The sequence below is a fragment of the Homo sapiens genome, chromosome 1 (genome assembly GCF_000001405.40).
Source record: "Homo sapiens chromosome 1, GRCh38.p14 Primary Assembly".
NCBI lineage: Eukaryota > Metazoa > Chordata > Mammalia > Primates > Hominidae > Homo > Homo sapiens.
In genome coordinates this window covers 118,971,963-118,984,192 of record NC_000001.11, presented here as the reverse complement: position 1 = coordinate 118,984,192, position 12,230 = coordinate 118,971,963, and the positions used below count along the sequence as shown (strand labels likewise).

The 12,230-nt window shown below is 43.3% G+C and overlaps 1 protein-coding gene across 7 annotated transcripts in view; it reads left to right on the top strand.

Moving 5' to 3' along the window:
• TBX15 (T-box transcription factor 15) overlaps nt 1-12,230 on the top strand; it is a 106,464-nt gene that overhangs the window by 5,318 nt on the left and 88,916 nt on the right. The window contains exon 1 of one of the 7 annotated variants that reach the window (XM_047429135.1): nt 315-603. The exons of the other annotated variants lie outside the window; for them this stretch is intronic. The gene's annotated coding sequence lies outside the window, so the exon portion shown is untranslated. Of the gene's footprint in view, nt 1-314; nt 604-12,230 lie in introns of those variants that run through there. 7 annotated transcript variants of the gene reach the window in all.

The window sequence follows — 12,230 nt, the reverse complement described above, 5'->3', positions numbered from 1 at the left end:
ACGTGGCAGGTCTCGCATTCTCGCACGCACCCGTCAGCTCAACTGCTAGTGAAATGAGATAGGAAAAGCCCTTGCAGAAAGCGCGGCCGCCCCAGGGCACTTTCTTCTTTGGAGTTATCTAGATCAAGTGGTCACATGAATTAATCTGCCAGTTTATGGTTTGTTTGCTCAAAATAAAACTCAGAGATTTTAATTCTGACATCACCTCTCTACCAACCTCCAACCCCCAATAGGGTAACAGGGTGAACACGGAGGAAGTGACTCTTTACTGACGTTTAAGTAACGAATAAAAAGTGATGAGTTCAAGCCAGCGGGGGAGAATGTGTTTGTGTTTGCGCGGGGCAAGCGCCAGCCAGGGCACAGGCCGGAGCTCAGACCGCAGGGACAGGGTGTTCGGCGAACGCGTAGAGTGAGATGCCGGAGGGTCTGCTGGGGTTGAGTCCAGGGACAAGGAACCTTGGTTTGTCTCTGCCGTGCACGCCCCTGCACTGGTGCTGGCCTGGAGGTGCCTGGCTCCGAGGAGTCAAGGGTGAGGCCTGGTGGACTTACGCAAGGTACTCGCTTGTCAGGTTAAAACGGTCTTCCACGGAGGTCACCCTTTTGGTAAGTGACCTTGTGTGAAGGGAAGCGAGAGGGATCTAAGGCCCGAGTTTGTCATGGGCCAGTGAGGATTATTGTTCGCTGAGGGGATGACCGCCAAGGGCCTTTTTCTGCGCACTGATCGGATCTTACTAAATTAGACGCCCTTTGGGTGCGCGGGGCTGGGTTCCCGGGCAGCGGGGATGGTTATGAAGACATTCTATGTAAAACTCCGGCCCCGGCGCGGTGGCACAATAGAAACCAGTAGGCAAAGGGAAGTAATTGTAACCTGTTCCCACCCAAAGAAATGACCACAGCAAACTGCACTAGGGCAATGGGAAGTTCAGAGAATGGGAAAACCCAGATGTAGAGTTTGGACTGTGATAGGGAGGAAGGTAAAATGTGCTATGGTTTGCATCTCCAAAGGTCCCTTCCCACCCTAGGTTCCCGCGCTTCAGAAGCCAGTAATGATAGACCCAGGGATCACAAGGGGGTGTGCGGGTCTCTCCTTTTGCTGCCACGAAGTGCAGGGCGACCCCTCACCCGCCTCTGGCGTCCACCTCTGCACCTCAGAGACCCGCTGGGGAAGCACAAACCTCATGGGCAGCGAAGGCTTTCCTAGGCAACTTCACACACAGTCTACCGCCGCTGCAATTCTAAATTCAGATCTACTCCCAACTCAACGTTATTTCTTGCTGAGCACTATATTTGGGCTCTGAGCTTGCCACTTTGGGTATCTTGATTTGTATAGGTGAAACTCCCAGAAGGAAGATTTCATGGGGGCAACCTTCATGCAGGGAGGAAGGGAGAATTAAATTTCTTAAACAGGAGTTCAGACTGAAATGATGCTGACACAAATCGTCTGCCATTTTTCTGACACCTCCCATACCAATGACTTCAAATGGTTAAAAATCTTTTAATTATGAAAGAAAATTTGTTTAAAATCTTTTAATATAGACAGCATGTGAGGAGTGAAGAATGGCATGCAATGCCTAAACTGGGGACCAAAACTAAAAATACTGGGTATTGTGTTTTGTGTTCCCCATTTATCTGTATAATGTGCTTCATGAGTGTAAACATGGAAACGAGTTCCTCGTCATTAACCCTCATATTAGGCCACAAGGAGAAAGGGACAACTACATTTTGGCTTAGAAGGCCTAAACATTGTGTTCATCCAGTCCTCTCTTAGGGCATGCAATGCTATTATTGAGTGAAATATTTCCGGTCCATCACAATCGTTCTATTGCCAAAAAAATTATAAGATGAGAGGATCGCTTTGAGATCCTGATTATAGACTCTGGTAGAACTTTATTTCTCACACCCGGGAGAAAAACAATTACCTCTTAAATCTGTGAATTCCTTCTCAGGGTGGCTATAATTTTTTCTTTGTTTTTTGTTTTTTAAAGCAAGGCCGAACTGTACAAATTCCACAGGGATAAAGGGCAGATTGGCATGCTATATACCTTTCTCCTTTCTGGAAACAGGACTCCATTCGATTATTATTCTGGGAGTGCAGCTGGTTATTGCTTTCTTACTCTCAAAAGATAAAGTTGTTCAATAGGAGAAAATACTTAAATGATTTTCCCATCTGAGCTTTATGTTTTGACCTTTTGAGATACTTTTCACAAAAGGGAAAACTAAGGAACTGGTGGAATGTGGAATCTCTTTTCCTTACTCTTTCTCATCCGTGTAGTTTATTTTTGCTTTGCTTTTCCTGGTTTCTAGTAAGTCTGGAATTTTATATGTGCATGACTGACATACTCAGGGGTCTGCACTGGGAACAGCAATTAGCAAATTTATAAATTAGGGTCCTGTTTACACTTCTTTGGGGGAAGGATAATCATTAGTTAATTTAAGTGAGGCCCTTGCTCTAAGTGTCAGAGGTGGAAAATATGATTTAGTAGGGAGGACCCGCTGTGAAATGGGAAAAGGGGAATTCAAGAAACTGGTGAGGACCAATCAACATTTCTTCAGTGCCACTAATGGCTTCACTTTTAGGCAGGATATCTTGCTGACTGCAAAACTGATGATGAGCTTTTGATACCAGAAGTGAAAACAGGCCTTGCAAATGACTACTTTTCATTTTATACTTTTAATATTAGCTAGTGTTTTATTTATTTTATAGATAAGTGTATAAAACATATGTTCACAAATGTATGTGCTTATACACAAACTTATGTGTGAACACCATAATATCACCAGAACACTATATCTACATCAAAATATCAGTTCTGAATTGGATGTAGACAAAATTTGGGACAAGAAACTGCCATTGTGTGTGTGTGTGTGTGTGTGTGTGTGTGTGTGTGTAGCTAGTTTAACAAATTGGGAATGTATAAAATTTGGGAGGCCAAAAGTTTTGTCACCCCTAGGTATCATGGGACGATTCTAAAGCATCCCAGTTTTGAAACTTCCAGGTAATGGGCATTTTCATTTAACTTGTAAATAAACTGATGACTGTGACCAAAGTCAGAAGTACCAGTCAAGGCCAGGCTCATGCCTGTAACCCCAGCACTTTGGGAGGCCGAGGCGGGGGGCGGGGATCACGAGGTCAGGAGTTCAAGACCAGCCTGGCCAAGATGGTGAAACCCCATCTCTACTAAAAATACAAATTTTAGCCAGGTGTGGTGGTGCGGGCCTGTAATCCCAGCTACTTGGGAGGCTGAGGCAGGAGAATCGCTTGAACCAGGGAGGCGGAGGTTGCAATGAGCCGAGATAGTGCCACTGCACTCCAACCTGGGTGACAGAGCAAGACTCCGTCTCAAAAAAGAAGGAAAAAAAAAAGCACCAGTCAAAATACCAGAAATTGAGACTGTACAGATGCTATTTAAAAGAACAGGAGGAGTGGAAACTTTTCCAACTAAATTTGGCATTTAATTTTGTAATTTGTATTAATTTTGGATGGGCAGAATGCTACTTTTTATTCTAAAAAGTGGTTTCATGTTCTTCCATGTAGAAAGTAAACGGAATAACTAAGATAAATCTTAATAATAAAAATGGCTTATAGAAATAACTAGAGAAACATCGTGATTTGGGGAAATTAATTTAAGAACGTAAGAAATGCATGTAAAAACGTCCTCTTATTTGTCTTCTTACATTTTCTACAATATAGTTGCCAAGGCTCAAATGAGCTGACAGTTTCCAAAATGTTGCCATACACTTTAGAGGATTAAAAAACAAAAACACAAACCACCCACTACAGATGACGAGTAGAGTTCCCTTGGAAAGGGAACATTAGAGAGGTCATTATTATAGACCTAGCCCGGAGCCTTGGAGTTTTTTTAGCTTTTAGTTGTCAACTGGATGAACCGATTTTCCGAATCCCCTCACCGCTGCGTTCTCTTTACTATCCCACAGCTGGGAGCGTGTAGTTTAAACTCCGGATAGGGTCCGGGAAGCAGTTAACCCCCTTACTTGCCACTCACTTCCCCTCCCCCAATTTTCCTCCACGCACGATGAAAACGTCCAATTCTTCCCCCTCTCCAAGAATTTCAGATCCCGTTTCGCCGCAGAAGGAACTGGGATTGCATCTCTTCTCTTCAACCCATCTCTGGAAAAACAGCGCAGTTTCGGTGACCTTCAGAAGTCAGAATTAGGCCGTGGCCGCGTCTGCCCGCCCTCGGCCCCTCGGCCCCTCGGCCCGGCCTTGGAGGCGCCGCGGGGCCGGAACGGCGAACGGGTCAGGCGCGGCTTGGCTGCGAGGCCTCGGTGTGCCAGCCCGAGTTCCTGTTCTCGCGCCTGGGGCTCCGCGCTGGCCCCACCGCCTCGCCTCGCCTCGCCGCATCGCGCCGCGTGCGCCCGGGGTTATCGCGGGGCCTTGGAAACCCGGGACCCTGGAAACCCGGGACCCGGAACCCTGAGGGATGGCGGCTGTTCTTAGCTCTAATTACATCCTGGAGAAATGTGGGGACCCTGGGCTAACCGGGAAGGCCCTGGTGAAAGACACCCCCCAAAAAACAGAACAGACCAAAACAAAACAAAAACAAATCAGGAACCCGCCAACGACAAACCAGAAATGCAAATGGAACCCAAGGGTCTCACACCTCGCGCCCTGAGGGGAGTTCGAGCTTTTGCTTTCATCAGGCAGAACAAATTTCCGAGGAATCAAACTGACTTCAAACATTAGCAATTAGAAACCAAGAATCCGCTGGCTTGAAGAACTTTTAATCCCTAACCATTTCCAAATGGGTAAATCTAGGGTCAGTATATATCGTAGCTAGTCTGTTAAAAAGGAAAGTCATCCTGTGGGATCGTGACGTGGAGGATCCCTGGGTGCCTAAGAGGCAGGGACGCTGACGCCCAGAAAGCGGGCATTGCCCACCGAGACAAAGAAAAGCAAATGATTGTCCTTCCCGCTGCTCTTGGGGATTAAAAAACAATGAACGAATTCTTTTATTAAAAAAAAAGAAAGAAAAAGAAACCAACCAAGTGTAAAAGCAGAGTGAGAAGTGACTACTAGTAGCTGAAATAACTGCGTTCTTTTAAGAACCCGGCGGGAATGGCTTCCCTTTGGAGGGAAGTCCTGTCCCGATGCATCCTTGCTCCAAAGCTTTAATCTCTCCAGGATACAGGGCTCCGAATTGTAAACCTAGGGGCTAGGTGCCTCGGGTGGTTTAGTTCTTCCACTCTTGCTCCTGAAAAATAAATAACTGATTTTCACAGTGGGGAGGGGCAAACATTTGAGCCAACAAGAGATTGTGAACACAGCAGTGCCTTCCCTGGGTTCAGAAATGTTTTCTCAATTTAGAAGGTTAATTAATAATTTGATATTTTTTGGCATCAAAGGGTGGGAGGGGCTATACGTACTATTTAGAAAGAAGGATTTAGTTAAAAAATTAAAGGTATAAACAAACTTGCAAAGGAATACTGAATTGTAAAATATATCAGAAACTTTACTTACTTATGTGGATATATATGTCTTCACTCTCCTGCAAAGCTTTCAACACAGACCTTCATGTTCTGTATTATATCCATATTTTTATGGTAGAAAGAGGGCTGAAGGAGCTTAAGTTAGGAGTCCTAGATTCTAGTGCTAGCTTTGAAATTGATGTTGGAACCAGGGATATTTGTTTTAAAACCAGACATATTAATGTTGAAAAAAAGTTTCAAAATTGTTTTATAGCCACTGATGAGGCCTCAGTGCCTCATTTGTGAAGTGAGGGAGACAAGGCTCAAATGACTTCTGAGGCCCCTTTAGCTACGAGATTCTGTGATCCTAACTTTGGTTTTGCTTTTTGAAATATTAACATTTTCTCCTAAAGTACTTTGGTCATCACTTGACCCATCCTTACTTTGTTGGAACGAAGGAATTTTACTGCAGTTGTAGAAATTAACAGCAATAGCAACACAAGACCAAAAAATAAAAATAAAAGAGAGAGATTTTTAGAGCTAGAATTAAAAGCTTTGGTAAAGTTCTTGAAAAAGTTTTTATATTAATATCACGTGTTCAACAGTCCTGGATCAGTGATTTCCAGTCCTTGTGTATGATGTAACCTATTGTTGCTTGCGTGAACGCTGTTGAAAGGGTTCTACGGCATTAGCGAATTTAAAGGAAATGTAAGTTATTTATGCTTTGAACATTTTCTGTGCCATTCCCAGAAATAACTGGAAAAACTCTGGATTTGAAAAATGAGGGTTGAAAAAAGCAACTTCATCACTGGTGAGTTGAATTGGTGGGCTAATAAAAATCAGTTGCCCCCTCATTACTATTTGAGTCTGATGGAAAGCACTAGTAACTATTTTCCATGTCTAGTCTGCTTAAGCCGAGATCTTGATCTGGCAGAGATGTGAGAATGCTAAAAGGATGACTTAGTAACAGGCAAAACGCTTGTCAACAAGATAGATCAGAAGACAGCTTAGCATTCAAGGCCTCTATTCATAGCTGCTGAACTTGAGGGCAGGGTCAGATGCAAAACTGTGCCCAGCATACACCTAGGAGGGTTTCTAGTGTTTCTATCTGTAGGACTTTATTTCCTTACAGAGTTCTGCAGGTGGGTTCAAACTCCAGTGATGGCTCCCCACCGTCATCTGATGTCCACATTCTGCACAGCCCCTGTGCAGACTTCTGCAATCATGGAACCTGTGGATTTACTAGTTGTCCTCTGTCGCTACTACCCTATAAACTACTGTAGGCCAATGACCTTGTCCTCATTGTTTTTGTATCTCCAGAACCTAGGACAAGTGGCTGTTACATAGGAAGCACTTAATAAATAACAAAACTATAATAATGATAACACGATAAGAACAACGATAAGAAACAGCAACATTTATTAAATAGGCACTCTGTGCCAGCCCCTGTGCTATATATATATATGTGCATATATATGTGTATATAACAATTATATGTATATCAAAACACTCACAAAATACTCTATCTTATTATCATTTCTATTTGGTGCAATGAATGAATGAATTATACAGTGTAGTGGTTAAGAGCTCAGATTCTTGGGGTCAGACTTCATGTGTCTGAGCCCTGGTTTTAACACTTGCTAGTTGTATGACCTTGGGCAAGTTAGTTAATCACCCTCAACCCTAGTTTCTGCATCTATGAAATTGGAATAATAAATGTGTTCACTAAAGGATTACTTGAGAATTACATGAGATAGTTCACATACAGGAACAAAAGATTTAGCACAAAGCCTATTATTCCTGTCAATTGAATTGACAGCGATTACTCACCTTAGTGAGCAGCTTGGATAAGAAATTGTTTGCAAATTATAATCTATAGCAGCCATTGCCCCTCTCCCCCATTCTTTTGCTTTAAATGGAATGTGTGGGACTTGAAGTGGAATCCCCACTTTGTTTATAGCCCGCAGTTAGAAACAGTACAGAATTTGAGTACCTGTGGCTAATAAAGACGAAAGGAATTTTGACAGCTCTTGCTATTGAATGTTCCACTGAGGCAAAATGCCAACCTGAGTGAGCATCTGGGGAAGGGGTGGGGAGTAGCTGGCTGGCATACAGTAGGAAGAGGGGGTGAGCAGAAGCCGGGCTGAGGAGACTCAGCCTTACCAACTTCCCCAGGAGCTCAGCTCTGAGAAGACAGGAGGGCCTTTCTGAATGCAGGGAAGTGGAATAATGCAAGCATGTTTCTCTTTGGTTAGTTTTTGATATTTCTTCCCGGAGCTCAGAAATCCCCAAAAAACCAGACTTTACCGGATAGGAAATAGAAGGATTCATTCTTTGTCTGTAAAGCCATATTCCAATGTACCCCCAGGATTCTGGGAAAAATCAGCCAGTTGCCCCAGTTAGTTGAAGCTGCAGTAGAGGATTAGTGGGTGTTGCATGGCTGAATTAAAACAACAACAACAACAAGAATAAAAGAAGAAAGAGACTAAATTAAAAGAAAACCTATAACTGAGCTGAATGTCGGGGAGGAGGAATCTGGGAAGTTTTTTTTTAGAGGAACAACAGAAACCCCAGCTCTGTTTTGCCATGTTTACGGCTGGACAACCCACATTTGGCAGCCCTGGTTTGCCCAGTTTTCTTCCTTCTGTAAAACAGAAGCCTGGATTTGATCATTTACTACTTTTTTAAAATTTTTGTTTCACCCTAGACTTTGTTTATATTATTTCCTGGCAACAGAGGGAGAAGGTGGCTTCCCTAGGAAAGAGGAACAGAGAAGAGATCCTTTCCTCAGCCTCCTTCAAGAAGCCCAGGGCCCTTAAGAAGAAGTGCTGAGGTCCTGACCATCCAGAGGAAAAGGGAGCTGCACTTTCCTTCTGGAAGCCAGGTCTCAGTGTTCAAATTAGACTCTGCCCTATGTTTTATCTCCAAGACAGATGTTACTATACTTCTCCAATTTTCCAAGCATTGTCTTTGCTCAGTGTCCACAACTCTAACCAGCAGTAGCTTTCATGGATTGAGAGCACACTCTGTACCAGGTACTGTGTGGATGGTTTTATTCACATTCTCTCATTGCATCTACCCAATAGGCCTTGAGGAAGGTAATTCTTTCCCCATTTTACCAATGAGGAAATTGAGGCTTAACAGATTAAATAGCTCACCCACAGTTGCACAGTTCCAGTATACTTTAAGTGACCCAGCCAGAATTTAAACTCAGCCCTGCGTGGCACCAGAATAATATCCTTAACCACTAGATTATATTGCCTGCCCTGTAGATGATGCTTAAGAGCTCTAGGGAGAATGTTGAACCTTTGTAGGTGGAAATTTATGTTTGCTGCTCACGTTGTCACCAAAACAGAAATTGTTAAATTGTGAATGAGAGAGAGGTTATTTATAGTTTCCAGGTCTTTTCCTTCCTTGCTTGTCATTCTTAGTTCCTCTGCTCCTAAGGTGACTTTTCCATACCTGCTAGTAAAGGTCTTTTTGTGGCAGTGATATAGGGTTGTTTTCTAAGCCATGGTCTTTGGAATGGCACACGTGCAGCCTTCCCGACATGACCTGCGTTTCTTTGACTTTAATGCACAAAAATCTCAGTGTCTGAAGTGTAGTGACTACATATTGAATTTTATCTAAAACCTCTGCATCCTAAATCTCCTCATGCAGTGAAATTCGGGGGAAAACTTTAACTGTTCTGTTTTACCCATTCCCTTCTCCATTCACAATGGGATGGATGGAATCTCATTGGTAATTGATTCAAAATGGAACAGCTTAGAAACATATCAGTTGCAATGACGGGCAATTCGTGCATTTCTAAGTACTGTTGACTTTTTTCAAACTCAGTAATCACAGCTGAAATCCCTTTGCCATGGATTGAATTTACAAAGGAAGAGATTCTGATTTCCACAGTGGCTTCTTTTTAATGCCCTAGGATTAGGAAACTGCCTTGAGGACCCACGGCAAGTACACCCGCTGTTAGGGTAGAGGTTTTAACTTTAACCTCTGAGTGACTGCTCTGATTCATTTATTTTGTAACAACTCTATTTAGAGTAGCCTTGTTTGGTATGGTAGCAGTTATTTGCAGAAGTCTCTCTTCTCAATGAACACTTACACCCTGTGCTCCATTACTCTTCTAATGCTGTAAGTGGATGAGATGCCAGCAGTGAGTTTCAGAGAACTTAACAGCAGGTTTCATGCTTTTCTGGCACACCTGTTCACTGTCTTTCCATTACTTTTTCTCCACTCCAAGTAACCTTCCTCTCTTAGGAAGTCTGATGTCTCCAACAGGGATTTGAAGAAAATCCAGCCCCCTGCCCCTGTTTTGGTGCGTGGATTTTAGCATTAATGTGTTTCTTGGCTGTTTAGTTGTACAGTCTGTCATATTCCTGTCTGTTGTGCCCAGTGATTAAAAAAATGGCTTTCAGAAGCAAAAAAGAGAAAGATGTAAAATCCATCTCTGTTTTAAAGCTTTGCTTTCTCCTGTTGCCAGCACCACTCTATGCAGGCAACTGATTGATGGGATTTGATACGCTCTTGCAGCAATAGAAGCATATGAATCTCTGGGTCCATTTCCTTTCCTAAGGAACCCATAGAGAGCCAAACTCTTGAAATATAGAATGTGGCAGAGGATGAGATGAACACTGCAATCTTGGGTGATTTACTGGATCTCATCCATCAGATCTATCACATTAGAAATGTAGATTCTGCAAGGTATGCAACCAGCCAGGCCTTGGTCATTTCATTTTCCCTGCAGTGTTCAGAGCACTAGTTGCATGACCAACATTAATCCTGGGAACATTAGATCCCATCTGGTACAACTGTGCGTTACCCAGATTAGACTGTGACAACACAGAGATTTAAGGCATCTCTGTGATATTCTGACTGGGTGGTAGGTACTGTAGGAGGTGCTTCCTGAAGACACAGGCCAATTTGATGGCTCTAGGGGTGAGCAGAGAGTAAACCAAGCCTCAGCCAGTGTGTGTGCGTGTGTGTGTGTGTATGTGTGTAGGGGAGTGTTGGGGGCGGTGCTGAGGGGTGTTATGGAGAACTGGGTGTAACAGTTCCCTAGCCTGCGTGGGTGAATTGGTTCCGGATGTTAACATTTTTTTCTTTGGGGCTTGACTACATTCTTCTTTTTCTTTGCCAGTCTATTTTCCTGCCCAAATTCTTAGGCTTCCACAGCTGTGTGGCTCATTGCTGGCCAGTGCTGAGAATGAAAAATCTGCTTTATTATAAGGGCAGTTTTTGGGCATGTGTATAGGTTTAGACTTTTGAGAGGTTTTTATTCAGCGCCTTTTCTGAATTCTGAGGGCTTTTTTTTTTTGCCCATAATCTTGTCAGCTGAGTACTAACCCTGTAGTGTATTGGATGGCCTCTGTTGGGAGATGAGCATGAGTGTGAGTATGAAAGCATGAAAGCAGACAGCCTTCATATACTAGAAGCAGAGAAAGCTGGTTGGTATGGGAAACTAAGACAGTAGATAGAGGCCAAAGAAGTAGCACTGAACTGCAGGGAGGAGTCAGGGAGACCTGATTTGAGCAACTCTTCTGGCTGTGACTTTGAACACATGACCTGGGCACACTGTACCTCAGCTGTGTACATGTCAAATGAGGGCAATAATATTGCTGCAGAGTTGTTGTGAGAATTAAGTGAGATAACAAATCTAAGGTGCTTGGCATAGTACCTGGTACATACATCATGTCAATTAACGTTTATATCAAATTACCCTTTTCCATCTTAGAATATTCCTGTCATATTTGGTGCAAAATTAGGGAGTGCTCAATATTATCATCTGTCTACCTTGCTCATAATTATACTTTTCATACATTGAGACCACTCAGACACTCTTTAGTGTTTTTATGAGAAACCATTTGGCCGGGCATGGTGGCTCAGGCCTGTAATCCCAGCACTTTGGGAGGCCGAGGCAGGTGGATCATCTGAAGTCAGGAGTTCAAGACCAACCTGGCCAACATGGTGAAATCTCATCTCTACTAAAAATACAAAAATTAGCTGGGTGTGGTGGTGGGCACCCGTAATCCCAGCTACTTGGGAGGCTGAGGGCAGGAGAATCACTTGAACCCGGGAGGCAGAGGTTGCAATGAGCTGAGATTGCGCCGCTACACTCCAGCCTGGATGAAAAGAGTGAGACTCCATCTAAAAAAAAAGAAAAGAAAGGAAAAGAAACCATTTGGAGAGTGTTGGCACAAGATGGTCCCAAACTACCAAACTACCCTCCTCGCCTACTTTTCACTGCTGCCCTATTCACAGCTCCTCTCCACACAGGCTTTTTCTCCTCTTCCATGCCATTATTGCTGCTGTCTGGAGCACCGTTCCTCCTGCTTTTTCCCATAAAATTCTTTCTAAAGAAAGTTTATTCTACTTTCAAGATCTATCTTGAGCACCAAATATGACAGGATCATTTTAAGAAGGAAAAGGGCAATTTGATATAAATGTTAATTGACATGATGTGTAAATCCAAACATATAATGGCTTCAGAACATTACATGTGTCCATGCAGAGCTCATATGTTTGGGTATACTGTAATGGAGGAAAATTCTTGGATGCACCAATTTTACCTTTAACTTGGAGTTGGCTAAAGGGAGCTCTTCTTTTAGGGATGTCTTTTTGGTTTCCTCTCAAAATGGCACCAGGGTGTTTCTGTGGTTTTGTGGTCACAAAAGAGCCCCAGTTAAGTATTCTGCAACTCTCAAAGGTGTAGCCAAGATTGTACAAATACAAGGGTCCCCCTTTGGCCATCATTATCAGCTCCTCTTGGAAGGAGGTCTTCACCAAGTAACCTGACTTGACCA